This window comes from Homo sapiens, chromosome 4 (assembly GCF_000001405.40).
Source record: "Homo sapiens chromosome 4, GRCh38.p14 Primary Assembly".
Classification (NCBI taxonomy): Eukaryota; Metazoa; Chordata; class Mammalia; order Primates; family Hominidae; genus Homo; species Homo sapiens.
The window spans coordinates 124446952-124464711 of NC_000004.12; the positions used below are offsets into that span (position 1 = coordinate 124446952).

At 38.6% G+C, this 17760-nt stretch overlaps 1 pseudogene, besides 2 other annotated features; it reads right to left on the reverse strand.

The window, feature by feature from the left end:
- Positions 12867-13434: an enhancer, noted in NCBI's record as "OCT4-NANOG hESC enhancer chr4:125380973-125381540 (GRCh37/hg19 assembly coordinates)". NCBI's record gives its function as "activates a minimal SCP1, AML or CMV promoter by ChIP-STARR-seq in primed H9 embryonic stem cells {active_cell/tissue: H9 hESC(primed)}" and the evidence as "EXISTENCE:reporter gene assay evidence [ECO:0000049][PMID:30033119]".
- Positions 14770-14970: a silencer, noted in NCBI's record as "peak5101 fragment used in MPRA reporter construct". NCBI's record gives its function as "represses an SCP1 promoter by STARR-seq MPRAs in K562 erythroleukemia cells {active_cell/tissue: K562}" and the evidence as "EXISTENCE:reporter gene assay evidence [ECO:0000049][PMID:32103011]".
- TECRP2 (trans-2,3-enoyl-CoA reductase pseudogene 2) lies at positions 15807-16909 on the reverse strand (annotated as a pseudogene).

Consider the following 17760-nt stretch of genomic DNA (forward strand, 5'->3'; position numbering starts at 1 on the left):
AGTACCAAATCCCCAGGCTGCATACAGCAGGGGGGCTCTGGGCCCAGTGCATGAAACCATTTTTTCCCTCTAGGCCTCTAGACCTGTGATGGGAGGGGCTGCTGCAAAGGTCTCTGACATGCCCTGGAGACATTTTTCTCGTTGTCTTGGTGATTAAAATTTGCCTCCTCATTACTTAAGCAAATTTCTGCAGCCAGCTTGAATTTTTCCTCAGAAAATGGATTTTTCTTTTCTATCACATTACCAGACTGCAAATTTTCTGAACTTCCATACTCTGCTTCTTTTTTAAACATAAGTTCCAATTCCAAACCATATATTTGTGAATACATAAAACTGAATGCTTTTAACCACACCAAAGTCACCTCTTGAACACTTTGCTGCTTAGAAATTTCTTCCACCAGATGCCCTAAATCATCTCTCAAGTTCAAAGTTCCACAAAACTCTAGGGCAGAGGCAAAATGCCACCATTCTCTTTTCTAAAACATAGCAAGAGTCACCTTTATTCTAGTTCCCAGCAAGTTCCTCATCTCCATCTGAGACCATCTTAGCCTGGACTTTATTGTCCATATTACTGTCAGCATTTTGGTCAAAGCCATTCAACAAGTCTCTAGGAAGTTCCAAACTTTCCATATCTTCCTGTCTTCTTCTGAGCCCTCCAAATTGTTCTAATCTCTGCCTGTTACTCAGTTCCAAAGTTGCTTTCACATTTTCTTGTATCTTTACAGCAGCACACCACTCTACTGGTACCAATTTAATGTATCAGTCTGTACTCATGCTGCTAATAAAGACACACCCAAGACTGGATAATTTATAAAGAAAAGAGATTTTAATGGACTCATAGTTCCACGTTGCTGGAGAAGCCTCACAATCATGGCTGAAGGTAAATGAGGAGCAAAGGCATGTCTTACATGGCTGCAGGCAAGAGAGCATAGAGAGCATGTGCAAGGGAGCTCCCCTTTATAAAACCATCAGATCATGTGAGATTTACTCACTATCATGGGAACAGCATGGGAGAGAACTGCCCCCATGACTCAATTATCTCTCACTGAGTCCCTCCCATGAGACATGGGAATTATCATAGCTACAATTGAAGATGAAATTTTGGTTGAGACACAGCTAAACCATATCACTCTGCCACACTGCTGGGTTCATTCAGCAATGTGTGGCTGAAGTGTTCTGGGTGGCTGTAAAGGTAAGTCATTGAGGCTCCAGGGATATGGAGAGGAAGGGGCTATTTGGCCCCAGGTCAGTATATAGTCTAGTGGGAACTGGACTCTCAAAATGACAAATGGCATCATACTGCAGCTGCTTGAGTCTCAGGCAGGTGTGTAGAACCCAATTGAGCTTCCCCTCCGGAGCAATGCTGTCATGAGCACTCCAGGCAGCTCCCTGTACTAGTCTCAAGGCTCATGAGAGTTGAGGGGCTCTCCAATGGATAAGATTGCATGAGTCCATGATGGGAATATGGGCTACTGGGGATCCCTCACTTACTCTTTCCCTGTACTGGGGAAACTTTCCAGGCTCCCAGCCAATCCTGGGTAAGCAGGCTGCCTTACTTGGCTCTTCTGCCATGCCTCAGGTATTTCCCGTCTCTACTGCTTTCCACGGTGTTCTCTTAGATGTGCTATTCAAAGTAAGATAATCTACTATTTATCTAATTTGGTTCTTCTTTGTGGAGGAGGTGAGTGCAAGTTGTCTCTAGTCAGCCATTTTGAACCTTTCTTCCAAATAAGTTACTTTTACCTTCTAAAGCCATAGACAAGTAGTAACTCTTTTCCACTGAATAGAGGACATTAGTAAGATGAGACGTTTTTGGCAGCAGACAACTTGATATTCAAAGACATCATACCTTCTCTAGTTTTTGCAATGTACACGTCTGAGCAGTAGCAAGTGGAACCTCAAGAGGGAGAGTGAGAAAACATTTACATAATATTTGTCCACCTGAAGTTTGAGGCTATATGAAGAAGCTGAACTATCTGCAAGAGAAATCAGCTATAAAATAAAGAATTATAGTCTTGCGTGGACTGCCAGGCACAAGTGTTAGGTGAAGACTCAGAAGAACATATGAACAAATTAGGTAGGAGAGACAGGACAAAACTGAAGAACAGGTTATGGCCTCAGTTAAGGACCTATCCAGTAATGGCCTATGTGTTTTGCCAATTTTCAGATTAAAAATTGTTTTAAATATTAGAAATATAGACAGATGTGCATGTAGGGTGTGTGTGTGTGTGTGTGTGTGTGTGTGTGTGTGTGCGCATATGTTTTGTATCACTGGTTCTTAGTCCCTCCTAATATTGCCACATATTTCATTCCTGCAACTTCCAGATATTTCAAGTATGTCTTCAGGATTATTTCACTGAAATATAAATAAGTGTTTTCAGCTGACTCACAGTATTAGCTAATTTTTCCTGCCCTCCAGTTGTGGCCATCCTCTGCTGGGTCACACTATATATCCCAGCCTCTGCTTTCAGTTGTGCTGGGTATTCCCACTAATTCTCCTTGGCATTTTTACTTGTGCCATGCAGACTAGCCTCTCTTTCTGGCTATTATCATGTCCACAGTTTAGTCTTCTCAGGTAATGTCACTGCCATTCCTCTTTGGAAGCCTTGAAACCAGCAAAGCCCTAATATTTCCACTGCATCTAAAGCTTCATTTTCAAGGCAGCAAGCTAAGGCTGTTTTCTGGAACCTCCACAGGATAAAGTTATACCATGTTCAATGTACTAGTACAGAGAATGCCTCTCTCTCTCTCTCTCTCCCGCTCTCTCTCTCTTTCCCTCCCGCCTTTCTCTCTGCCTTATTACTCAGACAACAAAATGCTGCAATTCACAAAATAACGTTTCATTTAGTTCACTTTAACTTAAATGATATGCATATGCCATTAAAAAAATTGAGGAAACATAAATTAATCATGCCCAACTGGGGTGGTTGAAAATTTTTTAAATGATAGGAATCAGTAAGCAATATAATATCATATTATTTCCCATATTATTCCAAACATCATGAACCCTAAAATAAAGTTTGTAGTTATCACAAGTTTTTAATCAATTCAGATCACATTTCAAAGTGCCACTGTGAGCTGCCCAAACCATGTGTTTTGCAGCTGCAGTGAATTTGACATGCTCTGAAATCACCATGGAATCCTCTGGATCTCTTGGAATTATGGAGCAAAGTCTAAGAAATAAAAACTGTAGTTTTTATTTCTTAATACGCTGGACAAATCAGGAAAGACATGCTTTGGAGAGCATGTGTGTGTAATTATTTTAAAGAATCCCAAATATGACTTTGTGAGTAGCTGTAGCTTTTAGAATATTTAATTATATATATATATAATATATATATAAAATATACAGAGAATTAAAGATTTAATTATATATATACATGAACAATAGCATTTTTCAATGATTCATTGTAAAGATGTTCAAACATAGAGAAAAATTAAAGTGAGTGAGTGCTTTTGTACATTCCACCTACCATTAATATTTTACTATACTTGCTTTATTACATACCCATTCAACTATTCATCCCTGTCAAACCATCAGCTTATCTTACTTGTTATATAGTTTTTGATACTTTCTTAAATCTACATATGAACCAAATGTAAGATTTCAGAATATAATTGTTAGTTCCTAATCTGAGGATCACGGATTTTTAGAACTAAAACAGACCTTTAAAAACTCTTTATTGTACACATGTCGTTTTTCAGATATAGAAATTAAGGCATAATGAGTTTAAAGTTTGAGTAAGAGCACCCAACAAATTAGTAACTAAACCAAGATTAAAATCCCTACTTGGTGTTTTCATGTAAATATGCACTTCAACAGAGAAGTTGTAATGTGTGGGCATGATGAGGAGGAGAATTGTTGAAGTGTGTTCTTTGTTAGAAAATTAAAGTGACTTCAATAGATGAATGTGCATTTGAATTAGCAGTAAGAGTTCAGAAGGAAACAGAAGTGAGTGAAGAGCTGAACATCTGTGAAAATCTTCCTACTGTATAATCAAAAGAAAAAACACTGCTAAAAAATACTTACTCTAGCATGTTTTTTATGTGTGCCAAGTTTCTAAAACTATGAAATATTGTGGGGATGAAGAATTAAAGGCTGAGCCCTGGAAGCAGGAAAGCTGGGTGGGAAACAAAGAGCATTTGCTGCTTAAATTCACTTTGACAAACTCATAGACTGTGGCAATAAGCTCTGCTTACAGAGTATAGAAGGGACGTGTTCTGTAGCCTATGCAATCCCTTGAATAAGTCCATTCCTAGAGTGGTACTTAACTTTTCTATTACCCACTATCGATCTACACTGTTTCAAGGCACATGCAAAGATAAGAGTCACGACTCTTCTGAGAATGAATATGTCACAATTTAAGGTACAAATGTCTCAATCACTTTTATGTTTCCTTGTTTTGATATAAATTTTTGAGAAAAATTTAAAATCAATGGGTGAATAAATGTTAGTTTACATTTTCATTCATGCTTCAAACATGGTGAGGCAGAAATGCAAGGTTTTTTCTTCTTCTTACATCCGTTAAAACTTAAAAGTACTCAGGATTTTGTATTTTTTAAAACCCTTCACGTAACTCTTTAGGTGACCAGTATTTGAGAGCTACTAGTATAAAGAATTCTACAGTAGAAGTCAAAAGGTCTGGTTTCTAGTTCTGGTCCCATAGTGATTTATTAAGTGGCCCTGTGTAATTCATTTCCCTCTAGAATTTATTTCCTAAGCATGCAGTAGATGCCAGACCCACCTAGCATGTGTTATGGGGTTAATAGAATGAGATATTTGAAAGGAAAATACTCTGTAAAGGATCTAGTATTACATATTTACAAGTATGTGTGTACATGTATAAGTATGTATATATATATATATATATATATATATATATATCAGTCTTCATTGTCTTAATCTTGTGACCAATGTAAACTATTTAAGCCTCAGGCCAGAGTCACAGAGGAAGTCTCCTGCTTTCAGGTGAGGAGAACATGTATCATACATTGTGTGACTCTACTTAGGTCCCCTTGGCATAAACGATTATAAACAGAGCCCTTTGATTTTTTCTAACTGAAAATAATTGTAAGAGATACATTTACCTTGTTATATTCACACATAATCAATACATATGTTTTATGAAAAAATACTCACCTTTACCATGAGTTACACACTCTAATATGATTTTCTCTTTTATTTAACTTTGAAAAATGTTGTCATAAACCAATAACTGGATCTCACAATCATTAATGTATTTACCTGCCTCTTGAAAGACATTGTCGTAAAACCTCTATTGTGAGTCTCAATTATAGCGAATTATTCAATGAGAAGAGAAAAACAAGTTAATGGTGTCAACCCAATATTTTCAATCATGAAAAGAAATTGAAGGGGTTGAATCCTTTCTTATGAATCTCTACTGTGTGAGCTAATAATCTATCAATGTGAAAATCTACCTGGTCTAATGTGTGAATGGTAATGCATCCTGTTTCATCTGCATTTATGTATCTATTCTTATGTTTGTTATAAAAAGAGACTTGTGGACCTTATGATACTAATAATATTAAATAATATTTTTAATGGACACTTGCTGTATGATATAGTTTGTATCTGTCCCTACCAATCTCATGTTGAATTGTAATCCCGAGTGTTGGAGATGGGGCCTGGTGGGAGGTGTTTGCATCATGAGGGTGGATCTTTGGTGAATGGTTTAGAGCCATCGCCTCAGTGCTGTCTTCACCATAGTAAGTTCTTTCGAGGGCCGGACATGGTGGCTCACACCTGTAATCCCTCACTTTGGGAGGCTGAGGTGGGAGGATCACTTGAGGACAGGAGTTTGAGACCAGCCTGGCCAACATGGTGAAACCTCGTCTCTACTAAAATTACAAAAATTAGATGGACATAGTGGTGCACACCTGTAATCCCAGTTACTCAGGAGGCTGAGGCAGGAGAATCACTTGAACCCAGGAGATGGAGGTTGCAACGAGCCAAGATCTCACCACTACACTCCAGCCTGGGCAACAGAGCAAGATTCTGTCTCAAAAAAAAAAAAAAAAAAAAGTTCTTGTGAGATCTGGTTGTTTAAAAGTGTGTGACACCTCCTCCCCACTCTCAAGCTCCCACTTTGCCTTCTGCCATAAGTAAAAGCTGCCTGAGACTCTCACCAGAAGCAGATGCCACCACCATACTTCTTGTACTGCCTGTAGAACCAAGAGCCAATTAAATCTCTCCTCTCTATAAATTACCCAGTCTCAGGTATTTGTTTAAATGCAACAATGGTCTAACACACTATGAAACAAGCAAAGAAAGGCACTTTCTCTGATTGTTATCTAATGCCAATGAAAATTTTAGAAGTGAACTATTATTCTCATATTACTTATGAAAAAATTTAGGAATAAAGAAGTTAAGTGACGCCTTAACTCTCACAATAAATTTGATAGTCCAGTCCTCTAATACAGTGGTCTTCAAAGTGAGGTAGGTATATCTCTTAGTATATACAAGTAAGTTTCAAGATATTTGCAGGTATATTAGGCCATTCTTGCGTTGCTATAAGGCAATACTGGAGACTGGTTCATTTATAAGGAAATAGGTTTAATTGGCTCTGCGGGCTGTACAAGAAGCATGGTGCTGGCAGCTGCTTCTGGTGAGGGCCTCAGGAAGCTTCTAATCATGATGGAAAGTAAAGGGGGAGCAGGCGTCTCATATGGCAGGAGTGGGAGCAAGAGAGAGAGTTTAGTGGGGGGCGGGGGGTGCCACATACCTTTAAACAACTAGATCTAGCAAGAATTCACTCACTATCATGAGGACAGCACCAAGTCATGAGAAATCCACCCCCGTGAGCCAAACACTTCCCCCCAGGCCCCACCTCCAACACTGGGGATTACAATTCAACATGAGATTTAGAGGGGACAACATACAAACTCTATCAGCAGGCATAAAAAGTTGTAAGAGGCACAATTTTGAGTTTTCCGTTTCTTAGTTATTCTTTTCTAACACCAATATGCTAGAGAAGTCCCTCATAGTTGAGCTTCTTCTATATTCTTTGACAACGCTCCTCTCCTTTTACTAAACATGGACATTGCTCATCTCTTGGAGTTTTACAAATTTTCATTTTAAATTTCAGGGTCATTAAACCTTCTCCATCAGATCTAATGTTAAGGGAAAGGCTGCAGTCATACTCTTGACTTTTAGTTCTCAAGGGTCAGTGTTGGGGCAAAATATAGATTTATCATTTTCCTCTGTGTTCCAGAAACTGATGTACATTTTGACCTGCAAACTTGGTCCGGGTATTTCCAGCAGACACCACCCTCACAATGTCACTCTCAGATCAGTATCAGATACATGGCTGTAACTCTGAATTTAGAGTCTAAAAATGATCCAGTTAAAAATTTCCATGCATGTCTCATTTTGTTAATAGTACAAGAATAGTAATATTATTTAGTGAAGGAGAATTAGAATAACAGTTACTTGAACTTTAGGATTCTGCTAAACTTGATTTGAATCTCTTCTGGGTCATTTGCTACTATGTAACCTTGGAGAATAACTGAAACTTGAGTTTCAATTATTTCTTACATTAAAAATAAAATAATAGTAATGAACTTGTGGGACTTTGCTAGATTTTTAAAAAGTCATGTATGTAAGAACCTGGTACATTAGTAGTGCTCAATAAATGATGGTTATTGTTATAATCATACTGTTCATGTCATTTAAAAAACAGGCATTAAACTCACTCACTGTTCAAGATTGGCCCATAAAAGTGCTGAAATGCTTAAAGAAATACATGTGTGAACAGCAGAGTCATCCTCTTCCTAACCCGTCACTGATTATAGTTATATCAGATTATTCCCTAAGTTTGAGGTTCCAAAAATGAGGGGCATATGCTTAGAAAAAGAAAAAAGTAACAGAAAAAAATGTTGGGTCTATAGCCACCAGAAAAAGACCACAGGAAATGAATACATTTAACCTCAGAAAGATAAGGCAAAGGGTGTATCAATCTCTTTGACTCTCAATTTCCTCATCTTCAAAGTTGGACTAATGATTCCTGTGCTCAGGTTCAAGGATCAAAAACAACTCTGATGAAATTCTGCCACATACTACATGTGAAAATTTGGGCCAACTAATGTACCTCTATTAGTCTCAGTGTCTTAGTCCATAGAATATAATTAATGCTAGGAAATGCCTTATGGACTTAGAGAATTCTCAACGCATGATACACACCTTGGCACTGAGTGAATGTTAGTTACTGACGTGGCTGCAGGTACCAGTTTCTTAGGGCTGACATAACAAACTACATACCACAAACTGGGTAGCTTACAAAAACAAATGTTTGTGTCAAAGTTCCAGAGACTAGCAGTCTGAAACAAAGGTATCAGTTGGGCTATGCTCTCTCTTAAACCTGTAGGAAAAATCCTTCCTTGCTTCTCCTCAGTTTCCGATGATTTGCTGGCAGTGTTCAGTGTTCCTTGGATTGCAGTGGCACAACTCCAGTCTCAGCCTTTATTGTCACATGGCATTCTCTCTGGTGTCGCTGTCTTCACATGGCCATCTTATAAGGGTACCAGCCATATTGGACTAAGTATGGCCCCATCTTAACTAAGTTAGCCTCGGCCTACAGGGTCAGGATCATCAGTATCACTGTCTTCCATCTCCACATGTTGTCTCACTGGAAGGTCTTCAGGGGCAATAACCTGTATGGAGCTATCATCTCCTATGATAACAATGCCTTCCTCTGAGGCTATTTTACAGTTAACTTTTCAAGTAAAAAGGAATACATTCCAAAATAATGATAAAATTTATAGTACAGTAATACATAAACCAGTAACATAGTTTCTGGTTTATTTTCAAGTGTTATGTACTGCTTATTATCGTATGTGCTATACGTTTATACAACTGGCAGCACAGTAGATCTGTTTATACCAGCATCACCACAAACATGTGAGTAATACATTGTGCTATGACATTATGATGGTTACAATGTCTCTAGGTGACAGGAATTTTTTATCTCCATTATAACCTTATGGAACTACTGTCATATATGCGGTCCCTTGTTGACCAAAACATTGTATATGGTGTATGACTATATATAGTTTTTTCATAAAAGCCTCCACATGAAAAGGGATTTTTAGAATGAGAAGAAACTCCAAAAATGAACATGTTTAAATCTAACCAAAAATAATTTAAATGACACTTTAGAAAAACATGATAGCAATGATGTCTCTGAAATGATAGGATGTACTCTTTTGTTGTATTCTATTTTACAAATATATTGTAGATGCCAGAATTAAGTGACTTAATTAGTATCAGGAGATTATGTTTTCCTAGAAAAACAGCAAGTATGATGCTAATATTGCAAATTATAAACTTTATATTTTATTTTACTAACTACATGTAACAAATACTAAATAATATTTTACAGGTATGTGCCAATTTTTTAAGATTTTTTTCTCATTGGTGATATAAATTGAACTTACTCTGAGGCATAAAGAATAGCTATTAACCTTCTATCTTCTTATTTTCTATTAAAAAAAACTGAAAGAAAACTGATAGAACAAACCTTGCCCATGGTTTCATAGTTAGTAAATCACAAGGCTAGAATTCAAACCTTGTGATTCAACTAACTTTTGAATGAAAATCTTGTCAGCATTTCCTTGGTTGTTCATCCATTTTTATTTTCGTTGTTGCTGTTATGTTATTCATGATACCAATAGTACTGGGTGTAATGTTAAATAGTAGCCACAACAGAGGGTATGACCAAGACCCTCTTGTCTTAGTCAGTGTAATTGTCCATTGATCAGAATTCCACAAGGGAAGATATACCACGCATTGGTAGGAGGAAAGCAGTTTTCTTTCTAAAAATAAATGTTTCCTATTAATTTTTTTCCTTCTTATTACATTTCCTCAATCAATATTCAATTACCTTATAATAAATTGAAATAATTCTGTGATAATTTGTTCCATTGAAGTGATGAGACATGTATGTAGGGAAATCACAAATCATTTTATCTGTGTGCAGCAACCAATTATTTAATGATTTGGGGTCTACTGGCGTACAACAATAAACATAACAAGATATGAGCTGAAGTCAGTAAATGTCAGGTGCAGGTAGAGGAAACAACATGTCAACTTAATTCTGCTTGCTCTACTATTTCCCAGGAGAATGCTCAAGCAGATTTATACCACAACTTTACTACACTGGGTTGCTTTACAAAAGACCATTTCTATACCAAAACAAAAAAGTTACACTCACCTTGGGAAAACATAAAGCTCCATCTCCAGAAACAACTTCCAGCTGGTCTTTCCTAACCATGTCTCAGTGATTAGACCAAAGTCATGAGCATTAGAGGCAAAGGTCTAGCAGAAGTCCAAACTTTCAAAGTAACATCTGCAGAGAAAATATCAGCCGATATAAAAACATGTGCACTGTTAATGAAATTGTGGAGTTTGCATCCTTTTGAATTTTTCTGCTTTGATGAGTATTCTTTATTCATAACCTCTCTAAGGCATTTTCTTTGGAACACAAAAGGATAATTCATATTCTATTTATTTTATTCTCATAAATTATTTCTTCATACTACTAATCCTAAAGTTCTGCAATGTTGCTTTGTTTCCTTTTACACCCACTCACCTAAACCTCCAATTCCAGAAAAAGAACAGCTGAAAAACTTATATATTACATATTTTAACACCAATTGGATTTCTTTAAGCTCCATGTGATATGTTTAGTTGACTATAGTTACGTCGCTCAAGTGATTATGATTGATTCAAATGTCTAAGATTAAAAATTGTAACCCAGGAAATCTTACTTTAGAAGAATCTTCCAGTTTTATAGCTATAGTTGATTGTCCTGTCTCCACATGAGCATCACAATAGTTATTCCATTCACTCACTTAAACTCACTCAACAAATGTGACCTGTTTTACTGAGTACCAGGAGTTATGAGGAATATAAAGGAAACAGAAGTCATGGTCTCATTTTAGGGTACTTACAATATCTACAAAAGATACTATCTTTTTCAACAGTCGCAAAATACAAATAGGAAAGAAAAAACCGTCTAAATCTTATTTGAGGAAATGACAAAATGCAAGGTACAGAAAATAAGTGTAAAAGGAGAATTGGTGCTCCTTAGTTCTAAAACTTCAGTGGTTGAAGTCCATTTTTATGTCCTGAAACATCAATAAAAACATCTGTTATATAATCTACTAGCTATCTTCACTCAAAATTACTTGCTTATGTAAATATTTAGTTTATAACTTTTTTAGTAAAAACATTTAAATGTTGAATAATTTAAGAAAAACATTTTAGTCTATATTTAAAAATGAAAAATTTTTTTTTCTCTACTTCATAGATGTATGCAATTTACAAGAGTGAAAGGAGAAACATAGGCAGAGTTAAATGAATTCCTCTTGAATGTGCGAAATTTATAGTTTTAAGACTTTCTGCTGGATTTTCACTTTTCACTATAAGGAGCAAGTGTGAAAGAAAGACCATCTGACATAGAAACAAATCAACTGGATTCCTGATATAAGGAATGCTAAGCATTGATTTCTGAGGTAGCAATGAAGCAAATTTGTCTCTTGCTATTTTTCCAATAAGAATCCTATATTTTCTTTCAAAAGTGTCTGTAAGTGTAGACATCGGTGTAGATTTGCCATCTTCAATGTTATGCTTTCATCAGTCTCACTGAAGTCCAAAGTCAACCTCTTCTGTTGGCTTGGTTTGATAAAATGACAAAATAATAAATGACCTGATAAAAATGACAAATAAGGAAGGATTTATCTCTAGACTCCAAATCTCCTTTATTCATAAACACACACACACATACACACTCACTCACTCACTCAAATATCAAGAGATGATTTCAGAACTCAATTCTTCATTTTTGTCTTATACTACTCCTAAAACCTTCTCTAAAGAAAAGCTAATAAATTCACTCCCAATAACATATTATTGCTTGAAAAATCCAGCTTACTTACTGTTCAAGTCATTCGATTTGATTATGCTTCTTTAAAACAAACACCTTTTTGGCATTTTTTACTGCTACATCTTTAGTGTCTAGGGCAGTGCCTGGCATATGTGTACAAGAAATTTTTGTTGAATTAATACATACATTAAAGTTTTCAGCCAAAGAAATTGAAAAATTGTTGGCAGCATGAAAAAAATGTTTAATTTCTTTTTGTTGTCCCTAAAATACCTCCGTCAAGGCTGCTTCCAATTCTACATAAGGCCACCTTGTAATATTCTTTCCTCCCAGTTGTCTTCCCCCACTTCTCTGCCCTGATACTGAAGAGTAGGAATTGTCACCTGGACTCTGAGTCTATATGCAGAGATTAGATACCCCTCTGGGAGTACTAGAAATGCAGTATGTCAGGTGAATTTTAGCGAAGCCTGAATTGCTAACCCTCTGGGTTCCCCAGCCCCTCTAAGCTTTACAACTGCTGAGGATTCAGCCCTAGAGCAGCACAGAAGACACCTCTGTGGGGTGCATGGGACTGAAAAAGGATGGGTAAGTTATTAGGAGCACCTTGCTAGAAGCACCTATGTCAAGTCTTTTAATAAGTATTTAATTAACTGACTACAGAGTTAAGGGACAACATTGAGGCAGAGAATATGGATTTTTTTTTTTTTTTTGGTGCCACTTACACTTGACTCCTGAATTGGAAGAGCCCAAGGAAAGGAAATAATAAAAATTCTTACACTGTGGATCCTCGCAGGTTGTAGAGGAATTTTGCCATTGTTGTGTAAGTAGCAGTAAACGGTCACAGGACTAGCAGACATTCAACAAAGCTGTCCTTTATTATCATACTGACTTCTGAGACTAAATCCCTCCTAATGCACCACAGCAGGATCTCCAAGGAACAAAGACACTAACATTAAATTTCAATATCTTTTGGCCCAGATGATGGCCATTTAAGCCAAGTTTCCCTTTCCATAACAAATCCTAATCTTGTGTCCCTATTCATTTTAAAATACATATATTTATAAACCCAAAGAGTTTGTATGCAGAGATTAGATACCCCTTTGGGAGTACTAGAGGGGTACTTCTAATCTTCTGCTCAAGCTAGTTTGTAGTCAGTAGCTGACATTCCCCCTCGGCATTGTCTGAAAATTGACAGCAGGAGCTCCTCAACGAAACCTTTTCACACACAATAGAAAGCCTTGAAGTCGGTGCGTGTCTGTGTCTGCTTTTTTCAAGAGGAACACAGCATGTTTGTAAACATGTGGCGTGGAAGGAAGATTTAGGATACAAGAGCAAGCCTGTGCCCCACTGATTTCCTGTTTGTTTCTCACATTATGTTACCCCTGGCAACTAATGTGGGAAATACACTGAGAGAACAGCACTCCTTTTCCTTATTGTAAGTCCAAATTTGGCAAATAAAAGAAAATAAAACCTTTTAGCTGTTTTCTTAATTGTGGAAAGTTTTTATATTCCTGTTTTATTTTTTACTCCAATTCTCTCCTTTTGCTTTCAGAAATAGAGAAAAAGAGATAGAGAAAGAGGAGTGGGAGAGAAAGAGTTTGCTTCAGTGATTTGATCTGCTAAAACCATATGGCACTGAGAACTAGAAGAGAAACTATTGAATAAAAATTATGCAATACTTATAGACACAATAAATAAGTTTCACTTTCATATCACAAAATAAATAGCACACTTGCATAGATTAATGAATGTATCCTAGGTGATGTTTATTTACCATATAAACAGAAAAAAAATCACGTGAATTTGTTCATTCATTCATTCATTCATTCAGCATTTGCTTCACAGGAAGCACTATGTTGGACATGTGCATTCCTCTTTTATCCCCTTTGCAGTAGAGTTTAACCAACATGGAAACAGAACATTGGAAAGTGAGGATACTTGCCCTTGGCCACAGTCTGGTAGATTCAGGACCTGGTCTGTTTGATTCCTAAGCTGGTGGCATCCCTACACTATTATGTCCCTCCACATTGATGATCCTAGTGTCTGAGGTAGAGCAGAGATGAAAGGACGTGGGTTTTGAGAGGAATAAACCAAAATAAGAAAATTATCACTGAGAAAATTGAGCAATTAGTACTTACCTGTCTTGTTCACTGTCCTTTAATGAGCAACAAGCCCCCCCAAAAAAGTCAGAGAATGAGGCTAATGATGACCTTTTAGACTCTAGAACATATATTAGTGTAAAATGAAAAGGATATTTAGAAAGAAATAGTAATCTGATTCATTTTTGTGTTTATATTTACATCACACAAAATAATGAGCAAAACCCTTTGGGAGTAGTAATTTTCAGACTACTATATTATTAAACATTTTATATTTTCCATCTCATGGAAGACATTATTTACTAAATGGCAAGCAAAAAGATTTTTATCTATATTGTTGCGGGAAGTCAGGGACCCCAAAAGGAGGGACCGGCTGGAGCTGCAGCAGAAGAACATAAATTCTGAATATTTCATGGACATTTATCACTTCCCTAATAATACTCTTATAATTTCTTACGCCTGTCTTACTTTAATCTCTTAATCCTTTTATCTTCATAAGCTGAGGATGTACGTCACCTCAGGACCCTGGGATGATTGCATTAACTGTACAAATTGATTGTAAAACATGTGTGTTTGAACAATATGAAATCAGTGCACCTTGAAAATGAAGAGAATGACAGCAATTTTAGGGAATAAGGGAAGACAACCATAAAGTCTGAGTGCCTGCAGGGTCGGGCAAAAAGAGCCATATTTTTCTTCTTGCAGAGAGCCTATAAATGGATGCACAAGTAGGAGAGATATCGCTAAATTCTTTTCCTAGCAAGGAATATAATATTAAGACCTTAGGGAAAGAATTGCATTCCTCAGGGGAGGTCTATAAATGGCCGCTCTGGGAGTGTCTGTCCTATGTAGTTGAGATAAGGACTGAGATATGCCCTGGTCTCCTGCAGTACCCTCAGGCTTACTAGGGTGGGGAAAAGACCCCGTCCTTATAAATTTGAGGTCAGACCCGTTCTCTGCTCTCGAACCCTGCTTTCTGTTAAGATGTTTATCAAGACAATACGTGCACAGCTGAACATAGACCCTTATCAGGAGTTTCTGATTTTGCCCTGGTCCTGTTTCCTCAGAAGCATGTGATCTTTGTTCTCCTTTTTGCCCTTTGAAGCATGCGATCTTTGGGACCTACTCCCTGTTCTTGCACTCCCTCCCCTTTTGAAATCCTTAATAAAAACTTGCTGGTTTTGCCACTCAGGTGGGCATCACAGACCTACCGATATGTGATGTCACCCCCAGCAGCCCAGCTGTAAAATTCCTCTCTTTGTACTCTTTCTCTTTATTTCTCAGATCTGCCAACACTTAGGGAAAATAGAAAGAACCTACGTTGAAATATTGGGGGTGGGTTCCACTAGCCCATGCAGCACAGCCTCCACAGTAGCTGGGATTACAGGTGCCTGCCACCACGCCCTGCTAATTTTTTTGTATTTTTAGTAGAGATGGGGTTTCACCATGTTGGCCAGGCTGGTCTCGAACTCCAGACCTCAGGGGATCTGCCTGCCTCGGCCTCCCAAAGTGCTGGGATTACAGGTGTGAGCCACCATACCTGGTCAACGTGGTGAAACCCCTTCTCTACTAAAAATACAAAAAAATTAGCTGGGCGTGGTGGCAGGTGCCTGTAATCCCAGCTACTCGGGAGGCTGAGATGAAGTCTGCTCTTGTCCCCCAGGCCAAAGTGCAATCTCGGCTCACTGCAACCTTAGCCTCCCAGGTTCAAGCGATTCTCCTGCCTCAGCCTCCCAAGTAGCTGGGACTACAGGCATGTAGTCCGGCTAATTTTATATATATATATATATAATTAGTTTTTGAAACTACTGGGGCAGGCGGGCTTTATTCTGGGTGCTGGAGAGCTGTGGGCCCCACTCCTCCCGTAGAATGCCACCAGGGTGAGGGGCTGGGCCTCGGCAGGGGTGAGTGCTCAGAGCAGGAAGGGGATGATGGGCATGCGCAGGGGCGGGTAGTCCCAGAACTCCTTTAGGGAGCTGTGGTGCTTGCCCTTGGCCTAGATCGTCATCTGGGTAAAGCCCACCAGGGAGAACAGGGCCACTGGGAGACACTGTGTCATGATGGCAAAACTGATCCAGGACCCCATCTGGTAGGTGTAGTTGGGGCAGGACACCAGCAGGAAAAGCCACGTGAAAGGGTTCTTGGTGAGGTATGGGATCTTCTGGGTGTTGGACTCAGCGGGCCGCCGGTCCCACAGGGCCATGTGGATGGAGAAGTCGCCAAGCACAGGCAGATCACAAAGATGGCGAGTGCCAGTTTCACCTGCTGAGCTCTGTAAGTAGGGGGTGTGTAGAGAGGGTGGTTGATGTAATAGGCCATCCACCCAGTGAAGCCCCAGGAGTAGGTGCAGTTCTTGAAGATGTTGCGCAAGGCATGGTACCATGGGAGAAGTGGTGCATGAACAACGTCTCCAGCAGGTGCTTGACGTAGTGCAATGAGTGACAGATGCAGGTGAGGTGCACCACCATGTGCCGACTGGATGTGAAGTCATATTTGTTGCCATAGATGAAGGGCACTCAGAAGTAGAAGAGCAGGTAGATGAAAAGAGGCCCCCCGTACTCTGTTAGGAAGACCGTCACCCAGCTGATCTGGGCCCCCACATCCTGGAAGTAGAGTGTGGCCATGGCGCCCACGGGCATCTTCTGCAGAACATCTTCATCATTCAGGGACTTGCCCTTGGGGTCCAGGCGGAGGGACTGGTGGGCAGGGTACCACTGCAGAGGGGTCTTGGTGAAGAGGTTCTTGATCTCTGCAGTGGTGGTGTGGGGCTCCACCTTGTCCAGGAAACACAGCTTCTCCCCTGTCTTTGCGTGCAGAATCTCCACCTCTTAGTGCTTCATGGCTGTCTCCCACGGCGGCTACTGCTCCATGGCTGCTGCTGCCTAACTGCGCGGCACAGCACAGGGTCCCGCCGTTCGGGGTCCCTGACTTCCCGCAACACTATATACCAAGTGGCATTATGTGATCTTCTTCATAGAGGTCCCAAAACATATTGCCTTGTATATTTGGCCTTTTGATAGTTTACTTGTACTTTCTTAATTTTTTTTTTGCCGTCTCAGGATTAACTTTATACTCAGAAAAATGCTCAAAATTTCTCACTATTGTAGACAAACATTTAAACATTTTATTATTTAATTGACCATTTACTCCTTAACCTCAGCTGTAGATAATGCCTTTGAAAACACTTAAATTTGGGGGGCTTACTTAACACTAGAATTCACTGAGCTTAAAAAAAAATTGGGGGGCTTACTTAACACTAGAATTCACTGAGCTTAAAAAAAAATTACTGTCCCTTCATAAAAATCTTAGTGTTATTCATGGACACAGGAAGGGGAACATCACACACAGGGGACTGTTGTGGGGTGGGGGGAGGGGGGAGGGATAGCATTAGGAGATATACCTAATGCTAAATGATGAATTAATGGGTGCAGCACACCAACATGGCACATGTATACATATGTAACAAACCTGCACGTTGTGCACATGTACCCTAAACTTAAAGTATAATAATAAAATTTTAAAAAATCTCAGTGTTATTAACACTCACTCATATATCATACTGCTACAGTAAATATGATACTGGAATCAACTCACATCATTATTTATTGCATAACAAAAGAATGCCCATCAGTATATATCTTAACTCTCACCCACATTAGTACTCTGAATTTTACTCTAAACAAATCTGTAGCTTTATTAGTTTGTTAAATTTAACAGAGGTAAATTTACAATGATTTTAGCCTTTCACTTATGCAGGCTCC